This window comes from Homo sapiens, chromosome 4 (assembly GCF_000001405.40).
Source record: "Homo sapiens chromosome 4, GRCh38.p14 Primary Assembly".
In the NCBI taxonomy this organism is placed as follows: domain Eukaryota; kingdom Metazoa; phylum Chordata; class Mammalia; order Primates; family Hominidae; genus Homo; species Homo sapiens.
This window is the reverse complement of record NC_000004.12, coordinates 90,762,067-90,789,580: the sequence shown is the minus strand read 5'-3', so window position 1 is coordinate 90,789,580 and position 27,514 is coordinate 90,762,067. Positions and strand designations below refer to the sequence as shown.

The following is a 27,514-nucleotide window of genomic DNA, read 5'->3' as shown; positions in this document are numbered from 1 at the left end:
TTCCAAAGACATGTGGGAAGTGAGAATTATGGGAGTTACAATTCAAGATGAGATTTGGGTGGGGACAGAGCCAAACCATATCAGTAGACATTGGCTACGTGAGTATGAGCTCAAAAGAGAAATATCTGATCAGAAAATGGAGATTTGAGAATCACTAGGATATTCATGTAGTAGAAAATAAACAGTTGAAAAACAAAAAAGTGATTGTGAAGAAAAATGAAAACAAACAAAAGAGAAAAAATAAATTAGGGTGTCACAATAGCTTTGGGAGCAAACAAATTTAAGAAGGAGAGTGAGATCAATTATGTTAGACATAACAGAGAGGAAATAAACTAAGACTGAATAGTTTTCACCAGGCTTATTAAAAAAGTAAGTCACTGTTGACATTATCAAAGCTGCTCTGGATGGTGTTTTGGAAGCAGAGTCCAGATTACAGAGAGTTCAGAAATAAACTGAAAGTAAAAAGTAGTGAGCTACCAACTACATAATTATCAGAAGGCAAGCTTCTTTCAATAAACTTGTGAACAGAATAGTTGTTAACAAGATTGAGATGGTGTGTGTGTGTGTGTGTGTATGTGTTAGATAGAAAAGCTTAATCAAGTTTAAACACTGATGAAAATGATCCAGTGATTTAAAAATACCAGGGAAAGAGGAATGCCTGGGGGAGGAAAATCTTTCAGGTGTTAAGAAAGAATGAGATTCAGTACATAACTAGGCAGAGAACTATCTGTAAACCAAGGAAATAAACTAATCTTTTATTGACAGTGAGTCAGTCAATGATAAAGGATCGCCTTTCTAATGAACTTTAACTATGTAATTGATTGTTAATGATTGAATTGTTTCTCCCCGGCCCCCTGTCCAATTCCTATGTTGAAGTCCCAACTCCTGGTAAGTCAGGATATATTATTTGGAAATAAGGTCTTTGCAGACATCATTAGTTAAAAAGAGAAAATACTGGAGGGAAGTGAGCCTTTTTACAATGACTAGTTTCCTTATTAAAAAGGGGAAATTTGGACACAAAGGACACCTACAGGGAACCACCATGTGAAGATTGGAGTTATGCCATCACAAACCAAGAAACTACCAGATACCAGGCTTGAGGTCCAGAATAGATCCTTCCCTAGCACCTTTAAAGGATGCTTGGTCCTACCAACACCTTCATCTCAGAATTCTAGCCTCTAGAACTGTGACAATAGATTTCCATTGTCTAAGCCACTCAGTTTGTTTGTAGTACTTTTTTTGACAGCCTTAGGAAACTAATACATAGACACACCCATAATTTTCAATGGCTACACTTTATAGATCATATATAAGTAATTGAGTTGATATCTGATTTTTCAATAACTGATAAATGAAAAAAGAAAAAGAAGAATGGATGTAAAAAAATAGAGTACATAACCCATGATCATTTTCTACCTTAGTCTTTCACCTCAAAGCTCTCCAAGTGCTTATTCTTATTTCTAACATAGGATAATATTAGAAATTGATGGGCTTATCAGGATTTCTAATATAATAGTAATAGGTTTTTTATTTAAGTTATAAAAATAAAGTACCCTTATCTGTGCATATTTTAGTCACAACTTGATTCATAAGCAGCTGCCTACTTAAGTCAGTGTATGTAGCAGTAGTTTAACCTTCACACTATACTCATCTAATCATTCAGATAAACTGCAAAACTTACTGTGGTGGACCCTACTTCTTGTAGAGAGTTGAGCAGCCACCAACCACATTTAGGAAGCGTCACCACTTTCTAGTCAAAATATCTAGACAATGCCAGTCAAAATGCCGGTCAAAATGTCTAGACAATCTCATCAAGGTCAAGGTCACTTTGACCTCTAATCAGTACATGATGAAGTTCATGGAGACATACAATTGTTCAAATTCCTTTTCACACATAATCAAGTTGTAAGAGAAGTATCACCTCCAGACATGGGAAAAAATTTGAATAAATACCCTGCTACACATACTCGATCTCCATTCCATCTGTGCCTTATTAATTAAAAGAAAACATCTTTGAAGACTGAAAACTAGAGGCCACATGACAGATAACCAGCATTGTAATGTCTAAATGTTGAAAGCAACCTAAGTAAACAACCATTAAAAAATTGTTATTCAATGATAGTAAATGTTTTCACTGAAAATTATGCATTCAAAAAAATAGTCACAAAGTTGTAGTGTTATGATTGAATATATATTGGTTTTCATCCACAGTTCCTGGCTCATAACTCCGTGGCCTTTGCTACAGTCTTTTGTTATAATGGGTGCATTAGATCTCAGGGAAAGGCCTCAGGAAACAGAATCTCTCTCCTTTCTTTCTTGGGGCAGGACTCTAATCTTCCCCTGCTTTTCTAATTGTATTAAGTCCTTCCCCTGAGAGGGTCCCACCTCATATCCTGGAGGAAGGAATGCTTCCATAAAAATCCAAGAGAACTAAGTTCTAAGAGCTTTAGGATATCTGAATGAAGGTGTAGAGTTCCTAGAAGGAGGCGTGCCCAGGGTGGGCAAGGAAGCTCTGTGTCCCTTCCCCCATACCTCACTCTATGGTCACTTCATCTGTATCCTTTGGAATATTCTTTATAATAAACTGGTAAATTAAGTTAGTGATTCCCTGAGTTCTGTGAGCCACTCCAGAAAGTTAATCCAACACAAAAAGGGGGTTATAGAAACCTCAGCTTGAAGCTGGTCACTCAGATGTTCAGAGGGCCAGACTTGCAACTGATGTCTGAAGAGGACTCTTGGGGAATGAGCCCCCAATCTATTGGATCTGACAGTATCTTCAGGAAGATAGCATCAGAATTGCATTAGAGGATACCCAGCTGGTGTCTGCTGCTCTGTGTGGGGAACCCTCCCACCATACAGACACATTTGGTCACAGATGTCTTCATTGTTGATCGCTGTGGTATGAGAGTAGAGGAAAAACAGAGAGATTTTCTGTACACAAAAGTCCATGTGGTAAATGGAAAATACACTTTGTTTGTAAATGGAATTTTAAATGAAAAACCTGAAAATATGCAAAATTATGACAATTATTTTACTAGAGTTTTAGATTTATGTGTGATTTAATTTTTTTTAATTTCTAAACTTTGAGTAAAATGATTACAGTATTAAAGGCTCTAAGTACTAGAAAAAATACATTATCTGGGAAATAAAATATTTATTAAGAGATATTTAGTAATCATATAACCTATTGGAACCATGTTATAGTTTCTGAGTATTACTGTGTTCCAAAGAAAATATTCAGACCAAAAAAGAAAATTCACAACAACTGAAGATCTTCATTTGTATATCTTGAACATCATTATTAGAACACATAGTTCACCACAGTAGTTTCTAATATTGCCCTTTTCTCCTCTATCAGTTTCCTTGAATCACTTCAGTTGCGCTTCCACGTGCCCTACAGAACATTGCTTAGGAGCCATCGTCTTTCTATCTGCCCAGCTTTCCTTTTGATTCTGCATTATGAAAGCCCTTGAGAAAGTATCTGACAAAGAAGAATCCCCCTCAGCCCCATTCAGACTGTAGCTACGGAGTAAAAGAATTGAAGTCGACCAGGCCAGAAATTTGTTTTAGAGAATAGGGAGAAGGTAAAGTTTGGAAACAATTTTACATAAGTACCTCTCAGCTCCACAAAATGCAAACTATATGAGTATTTGCTACATAACAAATGTTGATGAAAAAGCCTAAATAACAAGCAATTGCAGAAAAAAATGGCATTTGTTAATCCTTTGGATATTAATAACACTTTACAAGTAGAAAAGCAATACTCATTTTGTTCATTAAATTAAAAAACACAGTCACAGTTCAAAAAGATGTTACTGTAAAATCTACTAAAATGTTAACATTGTAAAAAAAAATTGACAACTTATTAAAACATACAAATTAAACGTATAGTTTTAATTGGCATTGGATTGAGATTTATTTAGAAACTAACATTTCATAAAGGTAAATGGTACCTTATTTCTGTCAATAATTGTCAAATTATTTTGCTCGAACATAGAAACTGTATTTTTCAGAATTTGTCACATTGAGAGATTTGCACTTTAATGGTATTATATTATCTTGAAAGTAATAGACTTTTCTATTCACTTTGATTATCAATGTAAATATGATTCCTGTTCTTCCATTGCCACTTGAACTTTATCCAGCTGCACAACATCTAGCATCTTAAAAAGAGAGCCAGTCAAGTCACAGGATTATAACATAATAACAAGAAAACTACATACAGTTGACCCTTAATGTACATACAGGTTTGGGCTGGGCGTGGTGGCTCATGCCTGTAATTTGGGAGGCGAAGGAGGGTGGATTGCTTGAGCCCAGGAGTTCCAGACCAGCCTGGACAACATGGTGAAACCCCATCTCCATAAAAAAATACAAAAATTAGCTGGGCATGGTGGTACATCCCTGCAGTCCCATATACTTGGGAGGCTGAGGTGGGAGGATCCCTTGAGCCCTGGAGGCAGAGGTTGCAGTGAGCTGAGATCATGCCACTGCACTCCATCTCAAAAATAATAATATACAGGTTTGAACTGTGTAGATCCACTTATAAGTGAATATTCTTCTGCCTCTTCCACCCCTGAGAAAGCAAGGCCAACCCTTCATCTTCCTGTTCCTCCTCAGCCCACTCAATGTGACGAGGATGAAGATAAAGATGCTTATGATAATCTACTTCCACTTAATGAATAGTATATATTTTCTTTTTCTTATGATTTCCTTAAAAACATTTTCTTTTCTCTAGCTTACTTTAAGAATACAGTATATAATACATAAACAAAATACATGTTAATCAACCATGTTTATGTTATCAGTAAGACTTCTAGTCAACAGTAGACTGTTAGTAGTTAAGGTTGAGGGGCATCAAAAGTTATACATGGATTTTCAACTGCATGAGGGTTGGTGCCTCTATCTCCCTTGTTGTTCAAGGGTCAAATGTAGTGAAATATATGGATACTGAGGTATATGCATAACAAACTAGATAGGTAGTTTTCAGTAGGGTGTGGAAGTAAATTTTTTCTAAATCATCTGGGAAGCATTTCAAAGATTTATAGTCCCCTCCCACTCCTTCTCATTCCACAGCTCCAGACTTATCAAAACCAACTAGAGATGTGAATTAGAACACATCATTTTCATCCTTGTAACCTCACTTTTGGAACACATTGTTATTGAAAATCAGTTGAATAAAGGAATGATTACCAAAATATATAAAATCAGCATATGCATTTATGATAACTGGTATGCTATTTGTTATTATAATCACAGTGTGCTATAAATTGTCTTCATATAGAGAACACTTTCCATTATCCAGGATGATGGGGAAAAGACAGGTTTTTCAAGAATTATTCAGCTAGTCACGTGCATATGAAACGAGGAACAGTATGGGCAAGGTTGAGCACTTCTTCACTCAGAATGCTACTACATAAGGAAAGTCCTCTAATTTGGAGTAACTTTTAGCTTATTTACTCTCTCCTATTTATCTCAGTCTTTAAACTGGCTTAATATTTTACCTTTCAATAAATAAATGTAATGACAACAAATAGCAACAAAAATTCTGTGATTCTGACTACTATTCCTGACTCTCATTCTTGTATTAATGAGTTTTTTTTCTTTTTTTTTGTAAGTTGCAGCATGTGCTTTCCAGCTCTCTCAGCTATAATTCACTTATTATACTGGAGTCCTGTTGATGTGGTGTTAAAAAGTTGGGGAGGGAAAACATTCTATAATCTTACAATTACAGCTGGTCTTAAGTGGGCCTGTATCCCTGGGCTGTGTCTTTCTTAGTGTATTAAATTGGCACATATTATAAAATTAACCATCACAGTTTTATTTCTTCTATGTAATGTGGACAGAAAGGTTAGAGAGGCCTGGAATTCAGTAAGAATTCTTTCTCCTTGGTGAGATAAATATTTGACTGGTAAAGTGTTTTCTCCTTGGAAGAGGCTTATGTATAGAGAATTCTCTAGGCATATTTCAGATGGTTACTTTTCCCCATCCCTGACAAAGACAAAAGGTGCTTTTTCTTAGTTCCTTACCGTAAGAACCTGATGGGATCCCTAGAGGTGAGAGTCATCAAAGTGTGCGGGATTCCCTAAGAATGTGATCCCCAGGAGTTTCTTACTCTCAAGCTAGTCCACACTCAGCATTCAGTCAGATCTTCATCGGAATTACCATTTAAGTGTCCCTACCAGTTTATGGTTTCAGTGACTTCTGCTGCAGTTAAACGGATCTTAGCTGCTTTTCTCTATAATCGCCTGCCTTTCTAGATTTGGGAGTAGCAGTTAGTTTTATGTCCTAATTTATCTGATGAGCCCAAGAAATATTGTTGATTTTCAGTTTGTTCAAATTTTTCTTATTTTAAGGAATAAATAAGCTTGGAAGGAGTAATGCCTTCCAAGCTTTTTAGCTTTTAGAGAAGAAACCAGAAATCCCCCAGCCTGGCCAATATGGTGAAACCCCATCTCTACTAAAAATAGAAAAATTAGCCAGGCATGGTGGCCTATGCCCGTAATCCTAGCTATTCGGGAGGCTGAGGCAGGAGAATTACTTGAACCAGGGAGGCAGAGGTTACAGTGTTGCAGTGAGCCAAAATTGCACCACTGCACTCCAGCCTGCGCGGCAGAGCGAGACTCCGTCTCAAAACGCACTTCGGGAGGCCGAGGAGGGGGGATCTCGATCACAGGAGATCGAGACCATCCTGGCTAACACGGTGAAACCCCATCTCTACTAAAAACAGAAAAATTAGCCAGGCGTGATGGCTGGCACCTGTAGTCCCAGCTACTCGGAAGGCTGAGGCAGGAGAATGGCGTGAACCCGGGAGGTGGAGCTTGCAGTGAGCCAAGATTGCGCCACTGCACTCCAGCCCGGGCGACAGAGCTAGACTGTCTCAAAAAAAAAAAAAAAAGAAAGAAAGAAAAGAAAGAAATCCCTGTCCTTGACTTCTCACCTTCTCCCAACATTCCATATGCAGCTGACAAACAATCCCCTTTTTCACCGAAAATTATTTTAATTCATTCATTTCCTTAAATTCCCATTGCCACTGCCTTTATATCTGGTTAGAAATATTCATAACTGCTTTCCCTGCCTTTGTTTCAACACCCACTAAAAAAGCCTTAATAGAGTTTTTTAAATATATTTCTTCACTTCCCTATTAACGATAAGATCTGAGGATAGAAGTCATATTTTGTCATTGTACGTCTCAAATCATCTAGTCCAATAATTTTCACAGAGAAGGAGTTCAATAAATATTAATTGAATGAATGAATGAATGTGTGAGTGATCTACTGTCTTCTAATTAGGCTGAAATTTGAAGTTAAAATTGATTTTTATTTCCTTAGATTAGTCTACAAATTCCTTAAGGAAAAATATTTTTTGCCCACAAATATATTCCATCTATGACCCAAGAAGACGCCTCCTGGTGGTATTCTAATTAACTATTCAGTGAAGGCCGACCAGGAAATATGCAATATAATCAAGACTGGATTTTTTCTTATCCTGGGCAATTAATCCTTGAATACTCAAGAAAGTGTTTATCAGGAAATAATTTTACTGCCTTTCACAGTACTAAATCTATTTAGGAAAATACTTTATAATAGAAATGTTCTTCATTTTATTTTTGTTCCTATATCGGGCATTTAATACACTGCGTTCATATTCAACAGTCTCTTCAATACGATTTTATCTTTTTTTGTAAGGTACATCACAATCATTATTACTGTCTTTCATAAATAAACTGAAATAGAAAACACAAATAGAAAAGATAAGTGACTTGCTCAAGGCAAACATAAAAGTTATCAAAAAAGCCAAAATAAAAGATAATATTTCAGTAACAAAAGACAGGTTTTCATACTTGCAAACAATGGCTATATAAAACTGGGAAAATTGCAGATATTTTTATTGTCCCTAATATCTAAAGCCAGGATTGCTTAATACATGTAAAGCTACTTTCAAGAGAACACAGAAAAAAAGTATTAAAAACACCTTATTGTTTTCAATCTTATAAGGAAAGTCACAACAATTTAACTCATTTATGTATTTCATATTTTATCAAAAAAAAGTGTTTCAAGTTTAACATCTAATCAAATAAGAGAAGATTACACACTCAGTTCCATGGGCTTTATGTCCATCATTTCATTAAATTTGATTTTAAAGAAATGCCATGAGTTAGGTTAGTATTACAGAGATTTTATGGGACAGGGGCTCAAAGCCCCAGTAACCAGGATTCCACAGATACAGTACAAAAGAGGTTTGCACATTCATATTTGATGAATCACTATTTTTTGAGCTCAGCACAGTGTCTGTTTCTGTAGAGAATAAAAGTGTTATGGTGCATACTCTTTCTATTCCAGATTCTGAGTGATATAGTTTGGAAATTTGTCTCTGCTCAAATCTCATGTCGAGTTGTGATCCCCAGTGCTGGAGGTGGGGCTTGGTGGGAGGTGTTTGAATCATGAGGGTGGATCCCTCATGGCTGGGTGCTGTCTTCCGGATAGTGAGTTCTTGTGAGATCTGGTAATTTAAAATTATGTGGCGCCTCCCAGCCACCCTTCCTTGTTCTTGTTTCTGTTCTCACCATGCAATGTGCCTGCTTCCCTTTGCCTTCCGCCACGATTGGAAGCTTCCTGAGGCCTCCCCAGAAGCACATGCTACTATGCTTCCTGTACAGTCTGCAGAACTGTGGGCCAATTATACCCCTTTTCTTATAAATCACCTAGTCTCAGGTATTTCTTTATAGCCATGCAAGAACAGCCTAATACACTGACAGTTTATGGTCTCTAAAAGATCACGCATATATGGAAATATTGATACTTTAGTCAATTTAGTTTACCTTTACAAACCATTTTAATAAAGTAAAAAGGGAGTATTCTTGGAGCAAGGAGGCCTCCTGACCGTTTGTCTTGCTTACAGAGCCTCCTTAGTTCATTATTATTTTAAGAGAATCATTTGAATGAATATAATGATATAGAAAAGCCTACTGTCCTTTGCCTATTTCTTTTCCTTTCAGACTAGAGAACTGGATGGAAAGAGTCTTTATTCTTTCCTTTCATCTTCAACTTTTGAATAAGTCATGGTGGATCATCTAGGCCTCCTGAACCCCAATCTTCAATTGATGTTAGTCAGGTTTTCAGAATTCCCTAGGGTATGTGGTCTGTAAAAACAATAAAAATAAATAACAGTCCTTATATTCTACCAACTCAGCATTTTGCTTGAATTATTTTGGGGATCATCAATGAAACTTAAATGTTCTTAAAGATAATTTAGATGGGAAGCGTAAAAGGACACCAATGTTTAGACTTACTTTTTTAGGATTCTGGTCTATCTCCTTTTTGGAAAACAAGAGCATACAAGTTAAAGACCAAACTTGTCCACACTGAGAAGTAAATAAGCTAGGCTTCCCTAATCCAACAGATGATTACCTTAACTGCCTAACAGGAACTCAGGGAGGGTCAAGTCCTGAGGGCATCTATATCAGTGAGGGTTCTTTTGACAGTAAATAAAAAGATACCTACTTATAAGTGGCTGAAATAGAACCTATATGTATTATCTTATATAACAAGGTGACTAGAGGTAAGTGGTTCCAGGCTCGGTTAATTCAGCAGCACAAGAATTATTTAAAGAATAATTTAAATCATCAAAGGCCCACATATCATATATTTTATTTTCACCCATCTGCACAGGATTGGCGTTGGTTTTCAGATTTGATTCTTCAGAGTTGTTGGAAGGCAAATACAGATCCAAAAAGCATGTTCTCAGTCAACTGTATTTAATAGGGGGAAAGACATTTTCTCCTCACAAGTATACTTTTCATCCAGTTTTTTCCTCTGGTCCATTGGCCAGGATTGGGTCACATGTCTAAGCCGTAGCTTCAAAAAAATATCAGGTATTTTTCAGCTCGTGGGCTCAGTGTCAAGGAAGAATGTCTGTGTGGGGAGGGGATCACCAAGGTGACTGCTACAGAATCTGAAATTGTAAGGATACATGCATAACCCATGAGGAACGTCTGGTGTGAGCTTGAACTCATAACACACATTACTTTAACTTTCATTCAGTAAAGCATTTAGGAATAAGTGAATGTTAAATGCTAACCATTGGGAAAAGAAAGAGCTGAGAATGCAGCAGCACATAAAATGGTGCTAGGGACAGATTCAAATTGCACAAGACGCAGATTTTTTTTTTTTAAAGTATGATGAGCGTTATGTAAGATAATTATTAGATTCCAGGAAAACCTAGCCCAGTCTTTTTTGAAGAAGTAATGTATACCTTGAAATAAGAAGCATGAGTAAGATTTTACCACAGAAAAAGAGGAAGAAAACACCTGAATATGTAAAAGAGAACACAGAAATTTCAAAGAAATAAAAGATATTTAGTATAGATGAAATATCAAAGCACAATTGGATTGAATGGCACTTGAAATACTGGAAAATAAGTCATATCATTTGTGCTTCTTAGACTTTATCTTAAGAATACAGAGAATGAATGAAGCAGTAAAGGGTTTTTAACAGGGATATGACATAATATTTGCATAAATCTGAAAGGAAGATCCATTGAGGGAAATAAGACGAGTAGTTAAGGTTGGAAGAGAGGAAGTGAGAATACCAACTAGGATTAGAAGAAGGAGATAAAGTATATTTAACTAGGATGATAGTAGTGGCCCTGAATTATAGATTTGCTCCTTAGTACTCTGGGAAAATGCTCAGATACTGTCTGAAGCAATTTTTACCAAGTTATCAACACATCTGGTTTTGAAATAAATCATAGTAAATTAATTCAATATGGTTTAATGTTAGAGTTAATAAAGAGTTTTTTTTTTAAGTCAACCAACAATCTCTATCCCTTATCTCTAAGGAATTGGGAATCTTGAGGGATGCAGGGTGCCTTCTAGTTTAAACATGGTATCCCACATGTAGTTCATTTGCTTCACTGCAAAAAAATGTTTGCTCCACAAGCACATGGCAAGATGTAGAAAAAAATGTGTAATCTCTGAAGTGTTGGTTTGCAGAATGATAGATTTTTTTAAAAAATATGTTAGTGTATGGGTTTCTTTTTGTGTTTTTTTTTTTTTAAGAAATGCATTCCCAATAAGATACTGCCATTTAATGGAAAACTTATTTACAATAAATTTTGCTTCTTAGATATTTTCATAGCAAGGCTTACTTGCAGTCATCCAAGAAGAGATACATCTATCCATGCACTCATGCACATTCTATTTTCAAATTAATCTTCTCCAGTAAATTTTTTGAATGCTTGAATTCCATTTCTTTCTATTTAGGGAGTTGTGAATACAAGGATAGAGTTTAAATTTTCTTCCTATCATAGTCTTCCAATTGCCACTGATGTGTAAAATACAGACTCAACAAATTAGCTTTGTTAGTCCTAAATTTTCTACTACTTGCAATCATAGCTTTAAGCAGCACAGTGTTCAAGATAATATAATCTGAGTTATTTGGTTACAGGCAAAAATAGTGGTTATGTTTTTGAGAGAACTCCAGGAAAATAGTCTAGGAAATGTATTCAGTATTGAGTCTTTTATTTCCCCAGATATTAAACCAAATGAATAAGAAAACATTTTTTTTTTGAAAAGGAACACTATGACAAACAAGATCAACAAATATTTATTTGGTTTTAACTGTATGCCAGGCACTCTGAACATATTATCAAATCTAGCCCTTAAAATTGCCCTGAGTTAGGAACTTGTATTTTGTGATTAAGCATTGAGACATTAATGCTTTAGATGTGTAAACATTTTACCTAATCTCCCAGAACTCTTCAGCAATAGTTGGACTGTTTGGCTTTAATTTCTAGCTATTTCAATATGATGTTATATTGCCTCATAACACATGTACAATACGCTGAAAATTCTTGGTGGTTTTAAACACACTTTAATGTGTTTAAAGTAGTTAATACAACAATCCTGCTGGCTATATACAATAGATATTAATATCTATATTGTACAGATAATAAAACTGAAACTGAGAAAGTTAAATACATTTTTCAAAGTCACACAGTTAAGTATATAGATGGAGATAAGTGATGGCATATTCATTTGAACCTGTACATTCTGACATGAAAGCACAGTTTTCTAGTATTCATGAAAGCACAGTTTTCAAATTATCCATGATTAATAATTGATGATCAGAAGAAAACTAAGTCAAGGAGGAAAATAGGAAGTACTAAGTGTGAGGTCTTAAAGTCCAATAAGTTACGCTTACAGGCTTTTTTTTTTTTTTTTTTTTTTGAGATGGAGTCACTCTGTAGCCCAGGCTGGAGTACAATGGCACTACCTCAGCTTACAGCAACCTCTGTCTCCCAGGTTCAAGCGATTCTCCTGCCTCAGCCCCCCAAGTAGCTGGGATTACAGGCGCCCACCACCACGCCTGGCTGATTTTTGTATTTTTAGTAGAGATGGGGTTTCACCATGTTGGCTGGGCTGGTCTCGAACTCTTGACCCTCAGGTGATCCACCCGCCTCAACCTCCCAAAGTGCTGGGATTACAGGCATGAGCCACCGCTCCCGGCACTTAGAGGCATTTTTAATTTGTCTGTTTTATAGCACAGATTCATTGATTAGTTAATCATTCATACGAATTTCAACAAATACCTTCTGAGTGCCTATCTTGTGCCAGATACTGCGAATATAATGTTGAAAGATATAAGCTTATGGTTGAGAATGGAGAGGATGAAGTTAACTAAGGATTACTGGGGATGGTGAGATAGGAAACAATAAGAGAGAGAAATGCATAGAGTATTGGGTACTTACAGAATTTTTAAAACTTTGTCATTTACCAGCTGTTTGACCTTTCTCAAATTGCTCAAATCTCTTGGCACTTCAGTTTCCTCATTTGTAAAATGGGGAAAATATTAGTGCTTATTTAATAAGGTTGTTGTAAACATTAACCTATATGGTGAACACTAACGTGTTAATACATGTAAATAATTTAGGAGTACCTGACTTCCAAGCATTTAACAAACATTAGTTGTTAAGCATTAAACAAATGTTGGATATTATGATGATAAGTCATGTTTCCTATTAACATTAAAGTCTATTACCAAAGTTTATTCAATAGATAGCTAGCTTACCTTAATAGGTGACATTAATTAAGTCTACTAATTGGAGCAAGACTTTCTCAAATAAGGATTTGTGTTCAAAACAAGGTCAGTTTGAGCTGTGAACATTTTCTTAAGACTTTTGTGTAATCTTCTATTATCTTTGAGATAACTTTCAAGAAATTTTCTTCTTTTAACCAAAAGACTTAAATTCAAAATTATTCTGTTCAGCAACACATCTCCCTTGTCTTTTAGTAACTATGAGGTGATCTACCTGCTTTGTCAAAACAAAAAGTAAGATTTGCCAGTGTATTACAGACTTACAGCACAAAACTTACCTCCTTGATTTCAGGAGAATTGAATTGGAATTTAAAAGAGGAATTGCATTACCTCATACAGTACAATTGTTTTACTGTTGTATCCAAGAATTATTGAAAACATAAAATTTACTATCTGGTACTTTCCATATTTGGGGATACACTGCTCTAGCCTAACCCCCTCATTTTATAAAGACAGATGCATTGCATGCTGTGTAAGCTGCTGTCTCAAGGCCGTACAACTAGATGATGGAGAAGTCTTTGCCAAAGTCAGGCCTCCTAATTGTTCATAGCACAGAACCAACTCTCCTTCACACACATGGCAACTAGATAGTTGATTCTAGATTGGGAGACATTTTCCTCAGTGATAGGCTAAGGAAAACCTCTACCTACCAAAGTGGTCGTATTTTTAAATATCTGTTTTACAAAAGAAAATCCTCTGTGCCAAATATCCAATCTCTTACTCCACAAAGAATATGAAATATTAGCTAAAAATTTATAAATGTGGATAACAATTTTGAACATGATCATTCCATAAGTGAAAAATGTACCTTCCTATTTACGATTAACCCATTATCATTATTCTGCATTAATTGTGAAATCTACATATTTATAAGTCACTTCTAAGGAAAGAAGTCCATACATGTGGCACAGTAGTAATCAGCTTTAGAACAGAAACTGCTGCATTTAAAAAACATCAACTTACAATGAAGATAAAACAAAATTCCCCTTAAAGTGATCTTTTCTTACTATTCACATTTGTAGTTCAAAAATCGTCTCTCCATGTTTTATATTTTACAACCTTATCTCTTTTACTGTAAAACTGTTTCTAGAACAATACATCTATGTTACCAAACTATCTGTACCTGAATGGAATAATAATTAGTTACATTGTTTGATCAGGCACCTCACAAAGCTGTAGAAGAGTTAACAAAAGAATAATTATTATTATACTTTGACATTTTAAGAAGATACTCCAGCCCTCTGTGGAGAGAAAACAGGCTATATTTTTATCACTTGATCTCAAGTACTCAATTCATGATTCTTATATGGTCTATATAGGAGGATATGTGAGAGGGTTAATTCAATTGTAATCTTTGAGGTGGTGAAGAGTCATTATGTTACAATGAATCATTTTTTTCCTTTGTTAAATCAATTATAGGAGAACTCAAATAGAAAAGGATCTTGTCAATAAATAATCTGAGCAGAGTTTAGACGTTACACATTTCATTTACAACATTGATTAGCAATTTGTAATTTTTTAACTTAAATCCTTAAGTCTGACTTCATGATAGCTGTCCATTTTTAAGGCTGAGGATTGTACTCTTACCTACAGGTCCTATTAGTGGTCTTTTTGGAATAAGAACAGATGAGATTAATGAGCTTATTATAATTCATTAGGAAGTGTTGTGTGGATGACTGCCTACTTTAATTAGTTTTATTACTGTAGGAAATTGTTTCATATGCCAGGCTCATCACCAAGCATGCCTGGAAAACATTACAGCAGTAATCAGAGTTGATATTATGTACCTTTCATTAGACAGTATGGCTAACAGCACTTAATAATGAACAAGGAAGGTATTAAAAAGATGGACATGACACAATCTAGCAAAAAGGGATTTATCAGATCAATTCTTAGTGAAGAAGGTGCAAAGTACAGTACTTTAAAATACTGTTGTGGCATACAGGTACTAGGCTCATAATTATGGCAAACAGTTTAAATATGTCAAGTTTATTCAATAAATCTCAATGCAAATTTTCTATGACTCATTATATTATCATGAAAATGTTAGTAACTAACTCTTCTAATAGTGTGAGGCTTCAAATAGCATTTCTTAACCATCACTATCCCCAAAGAATAATACACCCACAGATAATTTTGAGCAAAGAGAAAAATCAAGTCACAATCCTAAGGAAGCAAATCTAAACATAAAATATATTTCATATTAGAGGTAAATGAAGAAAGTATAAATCAATTTCACAGGAATTTACCATGCTGTTTTCCTAAACGCTGATTAACACAAAAATATTTTTAATGCTTCTAATATTATTCTTTTAACCTGAGATCAAAATGTAACCTTATAGTTATTTTGTAATTAAATTTCTGGCCTTAAATAAGTACTGAGAGTTCAATCTCATAGACTAACTAGAAATTAAATAAAAATGATGTGCCCTTATATCTCACTCCCAAGGCACTTACAGTATTTATAACTTACCAACTTTTATTTTATCGTATCTTATGTAGTGTTTAGCCAGCACAATTCTCATTTCATTGATCAAAAAATGAATGTCATTGCATTTTTATATCTATTGACAGCATGCTGAAGTTTCTGAATACCCGATCTAACGTCTCCTTTTTTGAGTATGTTCTTTCAATATTTAAATTTCTTCTTCTAAATATGTGAGCTATTACCTCAAGACATTCTAATTTCTCTTCTGCTATTACAGAAATAATGTTATTGTAATTTTGGATGGGAACTACAATTTCTGGGCTCTCCCATTTTGTTTTTACTAGAAATATTCTAATTACAAAGCATTACAGTTCAATAAACTATCATTAAGCCACTAGTGCAGAAAATACCAACACCTGGTTTTCCATTCAATATAGATGTAATTTAGGGTGGATAAAGTCTAATCTTAAAAAATACTGGAGAGGAGGTGGGAAGGTATTTGAAGGTAGCTTTTTATTCCTGAGTAGTCTTATTAAACAAAATAATCACAAACCTAACCATCATCACTAACAATAATAGCTAACACAAAGCACCTCAGTTCCAAACCCCATCAAGCATTTTTAGTGTCCTAAAGGAAGTTGCTTGCCTAAGGTTCCCTAGCAGTCTTCAAAGTTACATTGTAAAATTCTGATGTGTCGATTCATCTTTCAAGGCTGCCAATCAAAAAGCATTATAAAGTCAAACAATAGAGATGATGTGAATTAAGGTAAGGGCAATCAGTAGTATTACAAATGTCTGCCCATTCTATATTCATTTTTGAGACAGAGTTTCGCTCTTGTTTCCCAGGCTGAAGTGCAAAGGCGTGAACTCGGCTAACCGCAACCTCCATCTCCTGGGTTCAAGCAATTCTCCTTCCTCAGCCCCCTGAGTAGCTAGGATTAAGGGCATGCACCACCATGCCTGGCTAATTTTGTATTTTTAGTAGACATGGGGTTTCTCCACGTTGGTCAGGCTGGTCTCGAACTCCCGACCTCAGGTGATCCGCCCGCCTTGGCATCCCAAAGTGCTAGGATTACAGGCATAAGCCAACATGCCTGGCCTCTACACTCATTTTTAAACATTGCTCTTTACTCTTTTTGGAATATATTTCATTTCGTGTGCAACACAGATTATTCATTAGAGTAAAATAGGATATAAAAACTTAGGAGGAAAAACAATATTTTTTCCTTCTGGGACATAAAAGGTAAGGATTGTCACAAGAAAAGACACATAATAGATAATATCATTTTTTGACACAATAAGAAAAGCCTATTTTTCTTTAAGAGGAAATCAATTTTAACAGACAAGTCACAGTAGTTCTGCCAGGATGTACTTCAGATTAGAGAATGATTTGAGGCTTCATTTTATCTGCTACAACAGAACTCAAATGTTTGAATTCTACATTAACTTAAGCCCATGCATGGAAACATTTCCAAGTATGAAAGGAGTCTGGTGATTGACTGATATATTATAAGAAACTTATAATTCCTTGTTAGTTTTTCGAATGACACTGAAATATTTGCATTTTGTTCCAGTAGTGACTGTAAGTTATACCTGACATTTTCTGTGAGAAATTTTATCTGTTAGAATATATAGAACAGTAATCAATAAATAATGAGTATAAATTTATTATGTCTCTCACTCATCACCTCTCAAAAACTGGTCTCAATTTTTATAATATATAGTAATTAACCTGAAGTTTGTCATATATTTTCTCTCAGACATTTATGACATGATTGTCATAATATATTGATTCAAACACAAAACTCTAATCATATTATTCCCTATCTCAGTAAAACATTATCTTTGAATAACAATATGATAGGAACTTCTCTAAGAAATAAGGGAGTGTGTTTATAATTTGATATCTTATGTATATCTTACATGCTTTCTGAAAAATTATTTCCTTTTTTATTGAATAACACAAATGTTAGTGGCTTTCTTGCCTTAGATCAAATTTTCTCAGGGTGAAAAGTCACTATAGAACTAAAGCTGGTTATATGAGGAGAATTGCATAATTTCTTGTTTTAGTCTGGCAGCACCTGGGATTTAAACAAAGATCAAAACTCGAGTATCCATATAGACAAAATTTATACTGGCTATATGTTTTAGCTCCTACCAAGTGCCAGTGGTAATGACACCTAAGAATTACTGCATGAAACAAATTTAAGTCAAAATATTGGAGAAATAGTAACAGGAAACCAGAGGATACACCACACAAAGCTGTGTTTAAGAAGAAAAACAAGTAGTATCCACTGAGGTTCAAAAAGAAAGCCAATTTCCCATGCCAATATCAAGATCTATGAAATAGCTTCAAAATTGAAAATTTACAAATTAAGCCACCTCATGCATTATGGCTCAATATAAAATATTTTAAAGTTGTTTGTAATAAAAATAGTATCTCACTTTCTACAAAAATATGCATTTTTTTCTTTTCTTTTTTTTTTTTTTTTTAGTGCCCGGCATTTTCTAAATAAAATCATTTTATTTGGTAAAAGGGTTTTAACGTTATACCTTTCTAGCTAAAAGAAAAGAAATAGTGGGATGTACAAATAGTAGATATTTATATCTACCAATTCAAGTATAAATCTATAAGGTGATATAAATGGGTCAATACATTTTAAGAACATCTATTTCTGAATTTTAAAAAGTGGTCCCTCAATAATATTGTCTAAAAAAAGATAATTATCGAATAAATCCAATAAATCAAACTAACAATCTTAGAATAATATATTTTATAAGCAAAGTATCATTAGAAATGAAAAATAATATTTCATATTTTATTTCGAATGAAGGGATATTTCATTATAAAGATAAAAGCCACAGAAGGTTAATTATGATAATTTATGTAAATATTCGCAGAGTGTAGGCACTTTAAAATCATAGCTATATAAAAGGGTGAATAGCCAACAATGCATTAAATTCCATAGCTATATTTATGATAGCAAAAGCAATCCCATGCAAACAGATATTCTGTACTTGGAGGATAATCATGAGTTCCTGAATGATTAAAAAACTACTCACCTCTAGTAATTTTTTTCTTGTGAAACAAATTAAAAATCACAACTGTTTTTTCTTCCAACTTAGGTGATAGATTTCCTTTGCATTATTGTTAAAATGATTTGTTCTATTCAGACTTAGTAAACTATTGAGCAAGAAATTTTATTTGGCTCCTATAATTTTTACTATATAAGTAACTCAATGATTTTAGTTATTTGCATGTGGTTGTGCTTTTGTGTGTACATGTGTGAGACAGAAAACAAAATCTCATGAAAGACAAAGAAATAATGAAGCATTGTAGTGAGAGAGAGTGCTAGTGAAAGAGATTTGGCATAAAAAAAGTCAGTAGAGGGAAATAGAATGACAGAAAGAAAAAGGAATACAATGATGGCATAATACATGGTAACCACTGAATACACTAAAGGATAGCAAGGAAATAATAGTTAACATAAGAGATGTTACTTGCTCTGGGATTTTCCCCTAACATTTGAACACAATATTAAGATACTTAAAATCTTGTTCAATAACTCATTATTTTCTATATGTTATTATTGAAATATTGACTTGGATGACCCATGTCCCAGTCTCAAAATGTTAATATTTATATGCCCTAATTTTTCTCACTTTATTTACAGTTTAACCTTCCATTCGCATAATATTTGGTAGCAAACATTTATTGAGTGCTGTATTAGTTATCTATGGCTGCATAGAACATTAAATGGAACAAGTATTTATCATCTCACACAGTTTCTGTGAGTCAGGAATTTGGGTATGGCTTAGCTGGGTCTTGTAACTAAAGGTCTCTTCTGGTTGTAATCATGCTGTAGGCCAGGGCTATGGTCTTCTCAGCTACAGATCCACTGGAACTGATGGATCATTTTCTAAATTCACTCATGAAGGTCTCACTGTTGGGTTCCTCATGACATGGAAGCATTCCCAGGACAAGGGATCCAAGGGAGAGTGAGCCAGAGCCTCACAAATGGGCCCCACAGCCTCTTCAAAACCTAGTCTCAGCAGTAGCTTTCCATCAGTTCCGTTGTATCATATTTGTTAGAAGCTAATAAACATAGCCTTCACTCAAAAAATGGGGATTATATGAGGGCCTGAATACCAGGTGGTAGGGATAATTGAGGATCACTATACTCTGCGTATTGGCCTCTAATTAACATCCAGTTAACATTCCTTTTACATGTAAAATATACTCACCCACTTCCACCAACGTCAAAAGTTTGATACTACTGTAGTACCTACTCAAATTAAATAATCTTGTCATCTGAATCAGGTTCAGCCATGGTGTAGACACTTCAGGTCTAGTTCCATAAATACATATCCTTGAATATAATCCCTCTTCGTCTGAAAACTGGTAGATACTGGTTTCCCAAATACACAACAGATAATAATGATACAGATAGAGGGTAACTGCTTTAAACATTTCTGTTCAGAAAGGGGGGAATGGCAGGTACAAAAAAGCCACTGGCCTATAACAATTCTGAAGTCCAATTATGCAATTACTGGAAGTTACTTAATAAGGTCAAAAGACTTTGTATAATTCTCCATGGCTCTTGGCTTTAACTGCTGGGGTCTGGTTCTGCCCTCTGAGTCATCATTCAGTTGAGCAGCTCTCTCAGTCTACTCCCTATCAGCATAATTCTGAGAGCCCAAACGGTTTCTTCTAATTCTAAACTGTCTCTGTTCCCCACTTTGTTCAAGCTGAAAATGTTTCTGCATCTATAACTTAAGAACTTCATGGGTCTCCTGTGAAGTTTCTTGGGGTTTATATCATTTGACAAAAGCCACATTCAAAAATCTCTTGAGATAAGCCCTTCTCTATCTTGAGCTCCTACTTCTATGGATGAGCAATAATGTCTTTAAACTTTCTAGAAGCTATAATAATGTTTCAGAGGACACAGAGGGTATGCTCTTAATCTCTTTAAGGGCTTTCTGAGTCACCAGCTTTAATCTTTCTGAGGTCTTGACAAAAGATTTTATGTATACCCTCACTTTCATTTTTGGACTACATTTTCCTGGAAGTACTCTGAATTTGATCTTTGATTGAAGCCATTTCTTAAATTTAGCATTATTTGATTTCTAGAGAGGCTGAGAATTTTCAAAGCCATCACAAGTACTGGCTCCTCTTTGGTTAACAATCCTTCCTTTAATTTATCTCCCCACTCTATAGATGTACTGCTAGAGAAAACGAGACAGCACCTTCAACTCTTTGCTAAGACATCTCCTTAGGCAAATCGTCCAGTCTTTTAGGCACATTTTCTATTTTCTGCCTTACTTTAATCAATGTTGTTGTTAAACTTTCTGATACTATATAACAAGGATTATCTTTCCTCCAGTTTCCAATACCATTTATTTAAATCTTCTGAAAGTCCTAACCTACAGCCTTATTGAAAACTATGAGACATGTAACAATAGCTCCGTCAAGGCACTTTCCACTTTCACTAACATTCTCCTTGAAATCTGCTGACCAGATCCAAAGTTACCTTCATATTTTAGACTTATTACAGCAGCATCCTACACTCAGAATAAAAATCTATATAGGTATCTGTTGTTATTTAACAAATTATCACAAAACTCAGCAGCATGGAATAAGTTTCAATTATTTCACAGTTTCTGTGGGTCAGAAATTAGGCCTAGCTTATGTTGGTGCCTCCAGCTCAGTATCTCATGATGTTGGATTCTAACTCCTGGCTAGGTGTATAATCATCCCAAAGCTTGACTCAAAGATTGCATCTACTTACTCACAAGGTCGTTGGCAGGCTTCAGAAAACCTGTTTCCAAGTAGTCATTTGGACCTCTCCACAGGGTGACCTTATGACACAGTACTGGCTTCTCCCAAAGTGAGTGAACCAAGGGAGGGTGAGTTAGAGCACCCAAGACAAATGCCACAGTTGTTTGTAAACTAATCATGAAAGTGACAACTTATTTCTTCCATATTCTATTCATGTGGAGCAAGTCAACAGGGGAGGAATTATACAAGATCATGAACACTGAGAAGGGAGAATCACTGGGGCAATCTTAGAGCCTACCACAGACACCTATTAGAACTTCCTTGTTTGGTCAGGCATGGTGGCCCATGCCTATACTCCCAACACTTTGGGAGGCCCAGGTGTGTGGATCTCTTGAGCCCAGAAGTTCGACACCAGCCTGGGCAACATGGCAAAAAAATACAAAAATAAGCCAGGCATGGTGGCACACACCTGTAGTTCCAGCTACTCAGGAGGCTGACGTGGGAGAATTTCTTGAGCCCTGGAGATGGAGCAAACTGAGATAGCACCACTGCACTCCAGCCTGGGTGACAGAGCGAGAACGAGACCCTTTAAAAAAAAATTACCCTGTTTATTTGCCTTGGTACTTTGAAAGTACAATTAACTTTTACTAAGCCACATGAATAAAAGGCAACTTAGATATGAATGATCTAACTTTATAAAAATTATATTTTCTTAGATCCAGTTAATGATACCAACAAATACATTCACAAAGAAGTTGCCTTTTAAGTTCACAAGGCCAGAGCAATTACCTCGTTTAGTTCAGTATGTGCAACCTGGAATTCAATTGATATCTAGTGAGAAAAAGGTCAAAGGTAATTTTCAAAGTAGAGCAACTAACTGTTTAAACCAATGGCATTATTTAGATCATCAGTGAAATTGCAAATCCAAAGTGTAAGTGCAGTCACATTATGCTGCCTTTCATGAAAAAAAAAATTGCTCTACATTTGCACTTGCTTCTTTTAGAACTGTGAATGGTTGCACTACTGCTAAATTCTTTATTTTACCTAAAAAAAAGAACAAACTTAGAAACACATACAAGCAGGACAATGAATCTGTTATGCCATATCTTTTTTTAAATGTCCTTCTATGGAATCAAGCCGGAAGGCTTTGTTGGCAAACACTGTGATTTTAAGATAATGACTATGATATAAATGTTTCCAAGTTTGAATGATACACAGGGTGTATGTGAGATAGCTGGGCACTGTTCTTTCATCAGATAAGTGACATTCAGCTTGCTCAGTAGTACATTCACATAAGACAGGCAATTCATCTTAAATTGAACTGAGTGCTAAAGTAGTTATGAATTGCTTTAGCTCTCCAAACTACAGAGTATAGATCACATCTCGTATGAGCTCTAGTGAACAAATATTAAGGGTTCTTAGATGTCATATATGTTTTATATCTTTACAGTGTCCCTACTTCTGTATCAATGGAGAGAAAATATGTATGAGTTATTGCCAAAATGTGTGAATATAGAGAAGGAATCCAGAAATTTTTAAAAAACTGTATTAAATTATGTGTGTGAATAAAATTCAATTTCAATACCAGATGGCATCACATAATGACAAGGTAATTTTGCTTATATATATATTTTTTTATTTTTTAGAAACAGGTTCTTGCTTTGTCACCCAGCAGTGGCATGATCATAGCTCACTGCAGCCTGGAACTTCTGGGCTCTGGCAATTCTCCTGCCTCAGCCTCCTGAGTAGTTGAGACTATAGGTCCACATTCACCAGGCCTGGCCAATGATTTGTGACATATTCTTTGTATATTCACTAAATATAAATAATATATTAAAATGAAATAGATTGATCGCTTTCTGGGTGAGCATTCAGATATTTTACTTCTCTTTATTTAGTTGCACCTGGTGTTACTTAGTAGGCGTGATCCTCAAGAATTCAGTTGTAAATAAAATTTCTGCATAAAGAACGTTATATATGAACTTGGGAAATTATGTGGACACAACTTTCAGGAAGTTATTTTCACACATAGAAAATATTTTCATCTGCACTAGGAAGACTCATCTGCTATGTTCAAATATAAGTAGGCTGGTTGATAGGCACTGATTGCTTTGTCTAGATTTTGGCATATGACAAGTCCCCAAATTTCTAAAAATTTATGCTCTAAAATTTCCTCTCTAGGTTACTTAATTACAGACACACACACAGACACATACACACACACACATTTTCCCTTTTTTTTCCTACAATGCCTTTAATGTTCCTGCTAACCTCTTTGGTGTCAACCACCAACCCTCAGAGGAACCCATACAGCTGACAGTCATAAATTTCTTAAAAATTCTCAAACAGGTCATGCTTACCTCCATATATCCATCTTTCTGCTCAGGATAGCCTTCTCCTATTCAGTAACATATGACTCATTCTGCAAAATTCAACTCACAATATTATCCTCTCTTGGTCTAAATTAGATGTCTGACTCTTGTATCTAGGTAAAAATCTATTATAAGCCTTATCAATGTATCAGTCTGGCCTATCATTGTATATTTTCTTTGTTTATTTTTTTCTCTTCTGCTCCACTTTTCACTAGTCTGCAGTTTCCTGAAACAAAGAAACCATAGCTTAATTGACTTTGCAACCCTGTCTATAGTGGAGTGACTGACAAAGAGTAAGCATTAAAAAAAATTATATGAGACGAAAAATGGAAAACAGGATCACTCTCCTTCAAATCTCTATCCCAAATACTAACAGAGAAGAGTACGATGCAATCCTAAATAGGTTTTTATGTTATTTCTTAATTGTCAAAGATCTGGAGGGAGCTTTGGGTAAAATACCTGTTTATCAAATGTTCAATAGGTCAAGAAATGTTTAAAGAAAATCCATATTAGGATGCTCCCCAAGGAGGCAGAAAAGAAATTTATCTTTCACTCTGTTTAAAATCTGCATATATATGCATCGTTAATAAGTGCATTAGGATTTTATGCAGTAATTCAGAATCCTTTAAGGAGATCAAAGCCCATTTAAGAAGCCATTTTTGTGAAAAACAGGTTTCCCAAAGGCCTTGTACAGCTTGTTAAATGTTATTCCAATTCAAGTTTGATAATAGAAACTCCTCTAAGGACATAGCAGAGAGTTAATTAAGTGAGTTAGCGACCTATTTGCTAAGAATTATGTTCCTGATTGGAAGGAAACTTGGATGGAGGCATTTTACAGAGACTTGCAGACACACAAGGTTGTCATGATTTTTTTTCTCTACTTTTCATTGGGGAAAAGAAATGAGCATAGGCCACAAAAGGAGAATGACAATAGTGAGAGACCTCATAGAATAAAGAAATATTATTTTGAATTAGTTTTTCAAGTGGTGAGAAATATATATTGTTTAACAGTAAAATACCATTAAAGTGTTTGGAAGGGACACAAGCCAGCGGTAAAAAGAGCATGAACTGCTACCAATATCTAAGTTAGATGTGACTTTTTTAGGAAATCATGGGTTGGGAGCTTTCAACTAATTCTCTAGTTGAGAAAAATAAAGTTTTTAAAACTTAGAATAAATTAAATACAATTTTCTTCATTAGTCTTTAAAATGTCCTATATCTTATAATTGCCTGAGTTGCAAAAGCCAATATTACAATTGATATTTTAAGATTCATATATTTACTTCAATTTTTCAGTTCTTACAGAGAAAACATTATGACTGATATTCTGCTCTTCTTTCTGTTTAAATAAGGTTTGCCATTATGATCCATGCAGCCTATACTCCAAAAACCACCATTATTGGGTGACAATTGATGTCTCTGTAGGTATAAAACACCTAAGAAAAATTAATCAGTATTATTTGTGCATTCCATAAATTCAGTCTTATTATTGAAGACGATGTTTATATTTAAAGACCAAGCATTGATTTTTCTGTATAGCAGATGAATGGCTTCATGGATTATAGTTCTACTTATACTCTATCAGTCAAAACTAATTCTGTTAAAAACAAACAAATAAAACACATTCTGTTTGGTGGTATCATCTCCTGAAGTACTTCTCTTTTTTTTATTAAATAATCATGTGTTAAGTGCAAGCTTGCTCTCATTGATTTTTACAATCTACCTCGAAGGGAAGACTTGGCACAAGTTCTAGAAGTATATTGGGTGTTCAGAAAAAGAGGATGAAGTGGTAGGAGAAACACATTACAGGAGAACACAACCTGGTGAGTCAATATAACTTAGTGAACTGTTGAAATATCTGTTTTTCCTGATATGTTTTCCTTCTTTCCTCTCATTTTAAGCAAGGAATTAGGTTTAATTGAAATAATCAATGTGAAATTAGAAGCTCTTTATAAAATCATAAACATTTTAAAAGCTAATGCAGAGGACACCGGAAAGTTATAAGAAAACATTTGAGAAATGGATGACCAGGAAATGAGGAAAAATTCCTAAAGTAGATAGGAGAAGAAGTGTATTGGTTCAATGAATGAAGGAGACCTAGTGCTTGTTCCTGGCATCATCTGGGGAGAGGGCAAAGACTCAGTGAGGAAGAGCTACCTTGTTCACTCTTGACTTAATGAGCTAGATCCTAGGCAGAGGAGTTTCTAGTTCTTCCCAAAGTGCTTACATCTCTAGCACGGCATGAAATGGGCAGAACTGTGGGACATAAACGGGCAGAGCCATGGGACTTAAATGGTTGATGTGCTCTGTGAACTGATTACCAACATCTCGATGGGACTTTCCAATGGATACATTGTTTGTAAAATATCAAGACACTGACAAAACTCTGTGGTTGAGATAACTCACAAATAACTGAAGTTATACTTCCTACCATCACTAAAGGATGAGTACTTGGAGTTAAAATTCAATTGAAAGAACATTGAAACAATTTTAATATTGTTTTTCAGTGCATCTGTTTGCTTCACTGGCTCCTAAAAATAGTGGAATCTGCAGGAAGCACCAGGGACAAATGGCTCTCCTCCCAAATCTTCCAGGCTGTGTAAGATTAGTAGTCTACTGCTTGACCTCTCTCCACCCATGAGTCCTCCATGATTTAAGGTACTCAATAGGTGGAACTAAGCCCCTTTCTCTGGTAGTGGGTTCCCTAGCTTGTATTATGAAAATATGCAAATTCACAAGGAAAATTATGACAATTCTCACTATAGAGAGTTGTTTTGGTTGGTAGTACAAGAAATGATGACAGAAATCAGCTGCTGCTTTAATGTCTTCTCTTGGTGTAAGCCATCTCTTCTCACTTTGACCATTTACAGCAGTCTGTTTCTTGCCTCCTTGAGGTTCTGATCACTGCTCATATTCCTTGGCTCCTCACTGCATCACTCAATCTCTGCTTCCATTGTCACACTGTCTCCTCTTCTGCTGCCTCTGTCAAATCTCTCTCTGTCTCTCTCTTACTTGTGGTTGCATTTAGGACCCACCCACATACACTGGGATAATCTCCCCATCTCAAGATATTTAATTTGGTCACATCTGCAAAGAATCCCTTTTTCAAGTAAGGTAACATACACAGGCTCCCGGATTAAGGCATGATAATTTGGGAGAACCATTTTCAGCCCACTACATGTATTTTTTCATATCAAACAAAAATTGGTATGGTTATTTTTGTGTGAAATAACAAAAAGGATTTGGGGCTTTTATCTAAGTGCTATTATTAGAAGCCATAAACAGTTTACAGAGGTGATGCATAATCAAAGTTTTATTTGTAAGTGATAACTATGGCTACGCTGTAGAGAACTGTTTTGGTTGGTAGTGCAAGAGATGATACTAAGAAGACAGAGAGAAGGCAGTCCTGGATGTGCAAAAATAGTGATTCAACTAAGGAGAACCAACAAGTAACACATATAACTTAAGTTTGTCTCTGTATTAGTTTGTCCTCATGCTGCTGATAAAGACATACCCAAGACTGAGTAATTTATAAACAGGTTTAATTGACTCACAATTCAGCAGGGCTGGGAAGCCTCAGAAAACTTATGATCATGGTGAAAGGGGAAGCAAACACGTACTTCTTCACATGGCAGCAGCAAGGAGAAGTGTCAAATAGAAGGGAGAAAAGCCCCTTATAAAACCATCAGTCTCATGAGAACTCACTTACTATCACAAGAACAGCATGGAGGTAACCACCCCTATGATTCAATTACCTCCTGTCGGGTCCTTCCCACGACATGTGTGGATTATGGGAACTACAATTCAAGACAACATTTGGGTAGGGACACAGCCAAATCAT

General features: G+C 35.3%; 1 protein-coding gene across 33 annotated transcripts in view; it reads right to left on the bottom strand.

Annotated features, from left to right (window-relative positions):
* CCSER1 (coiled-coil serine rich protein 1) overlaps positions 1-27,514 on the bottom strand; it is a 1,477,902-nt gene that overhangs the window by 815,715 nt on the left and 634,673 nt on the right. For 5 of the 33 annotated variants that reach the window (XM_047415680.1, XM_011531955.3, XM_011531957.3 and 2 more), the window contains one exon: positions 7,577-9,139. The exons of the other annotated variants lie outside the window; for them this stretch is intronic. Coding sequence is in view for 4 of the 5 variants with exons in the window: in XM_011531957.3 (XP_011530259.1) it covers positions 9,116-9,139 (24 nt within the window). In the remaining variant the exon portion in view is untranslated. Of the gene's footprint in view, positions 1-7,576; positions 9,140-27,514 lie in introns of those variants that run through there. 33 annotated transcript variants of the gene reach the window in all.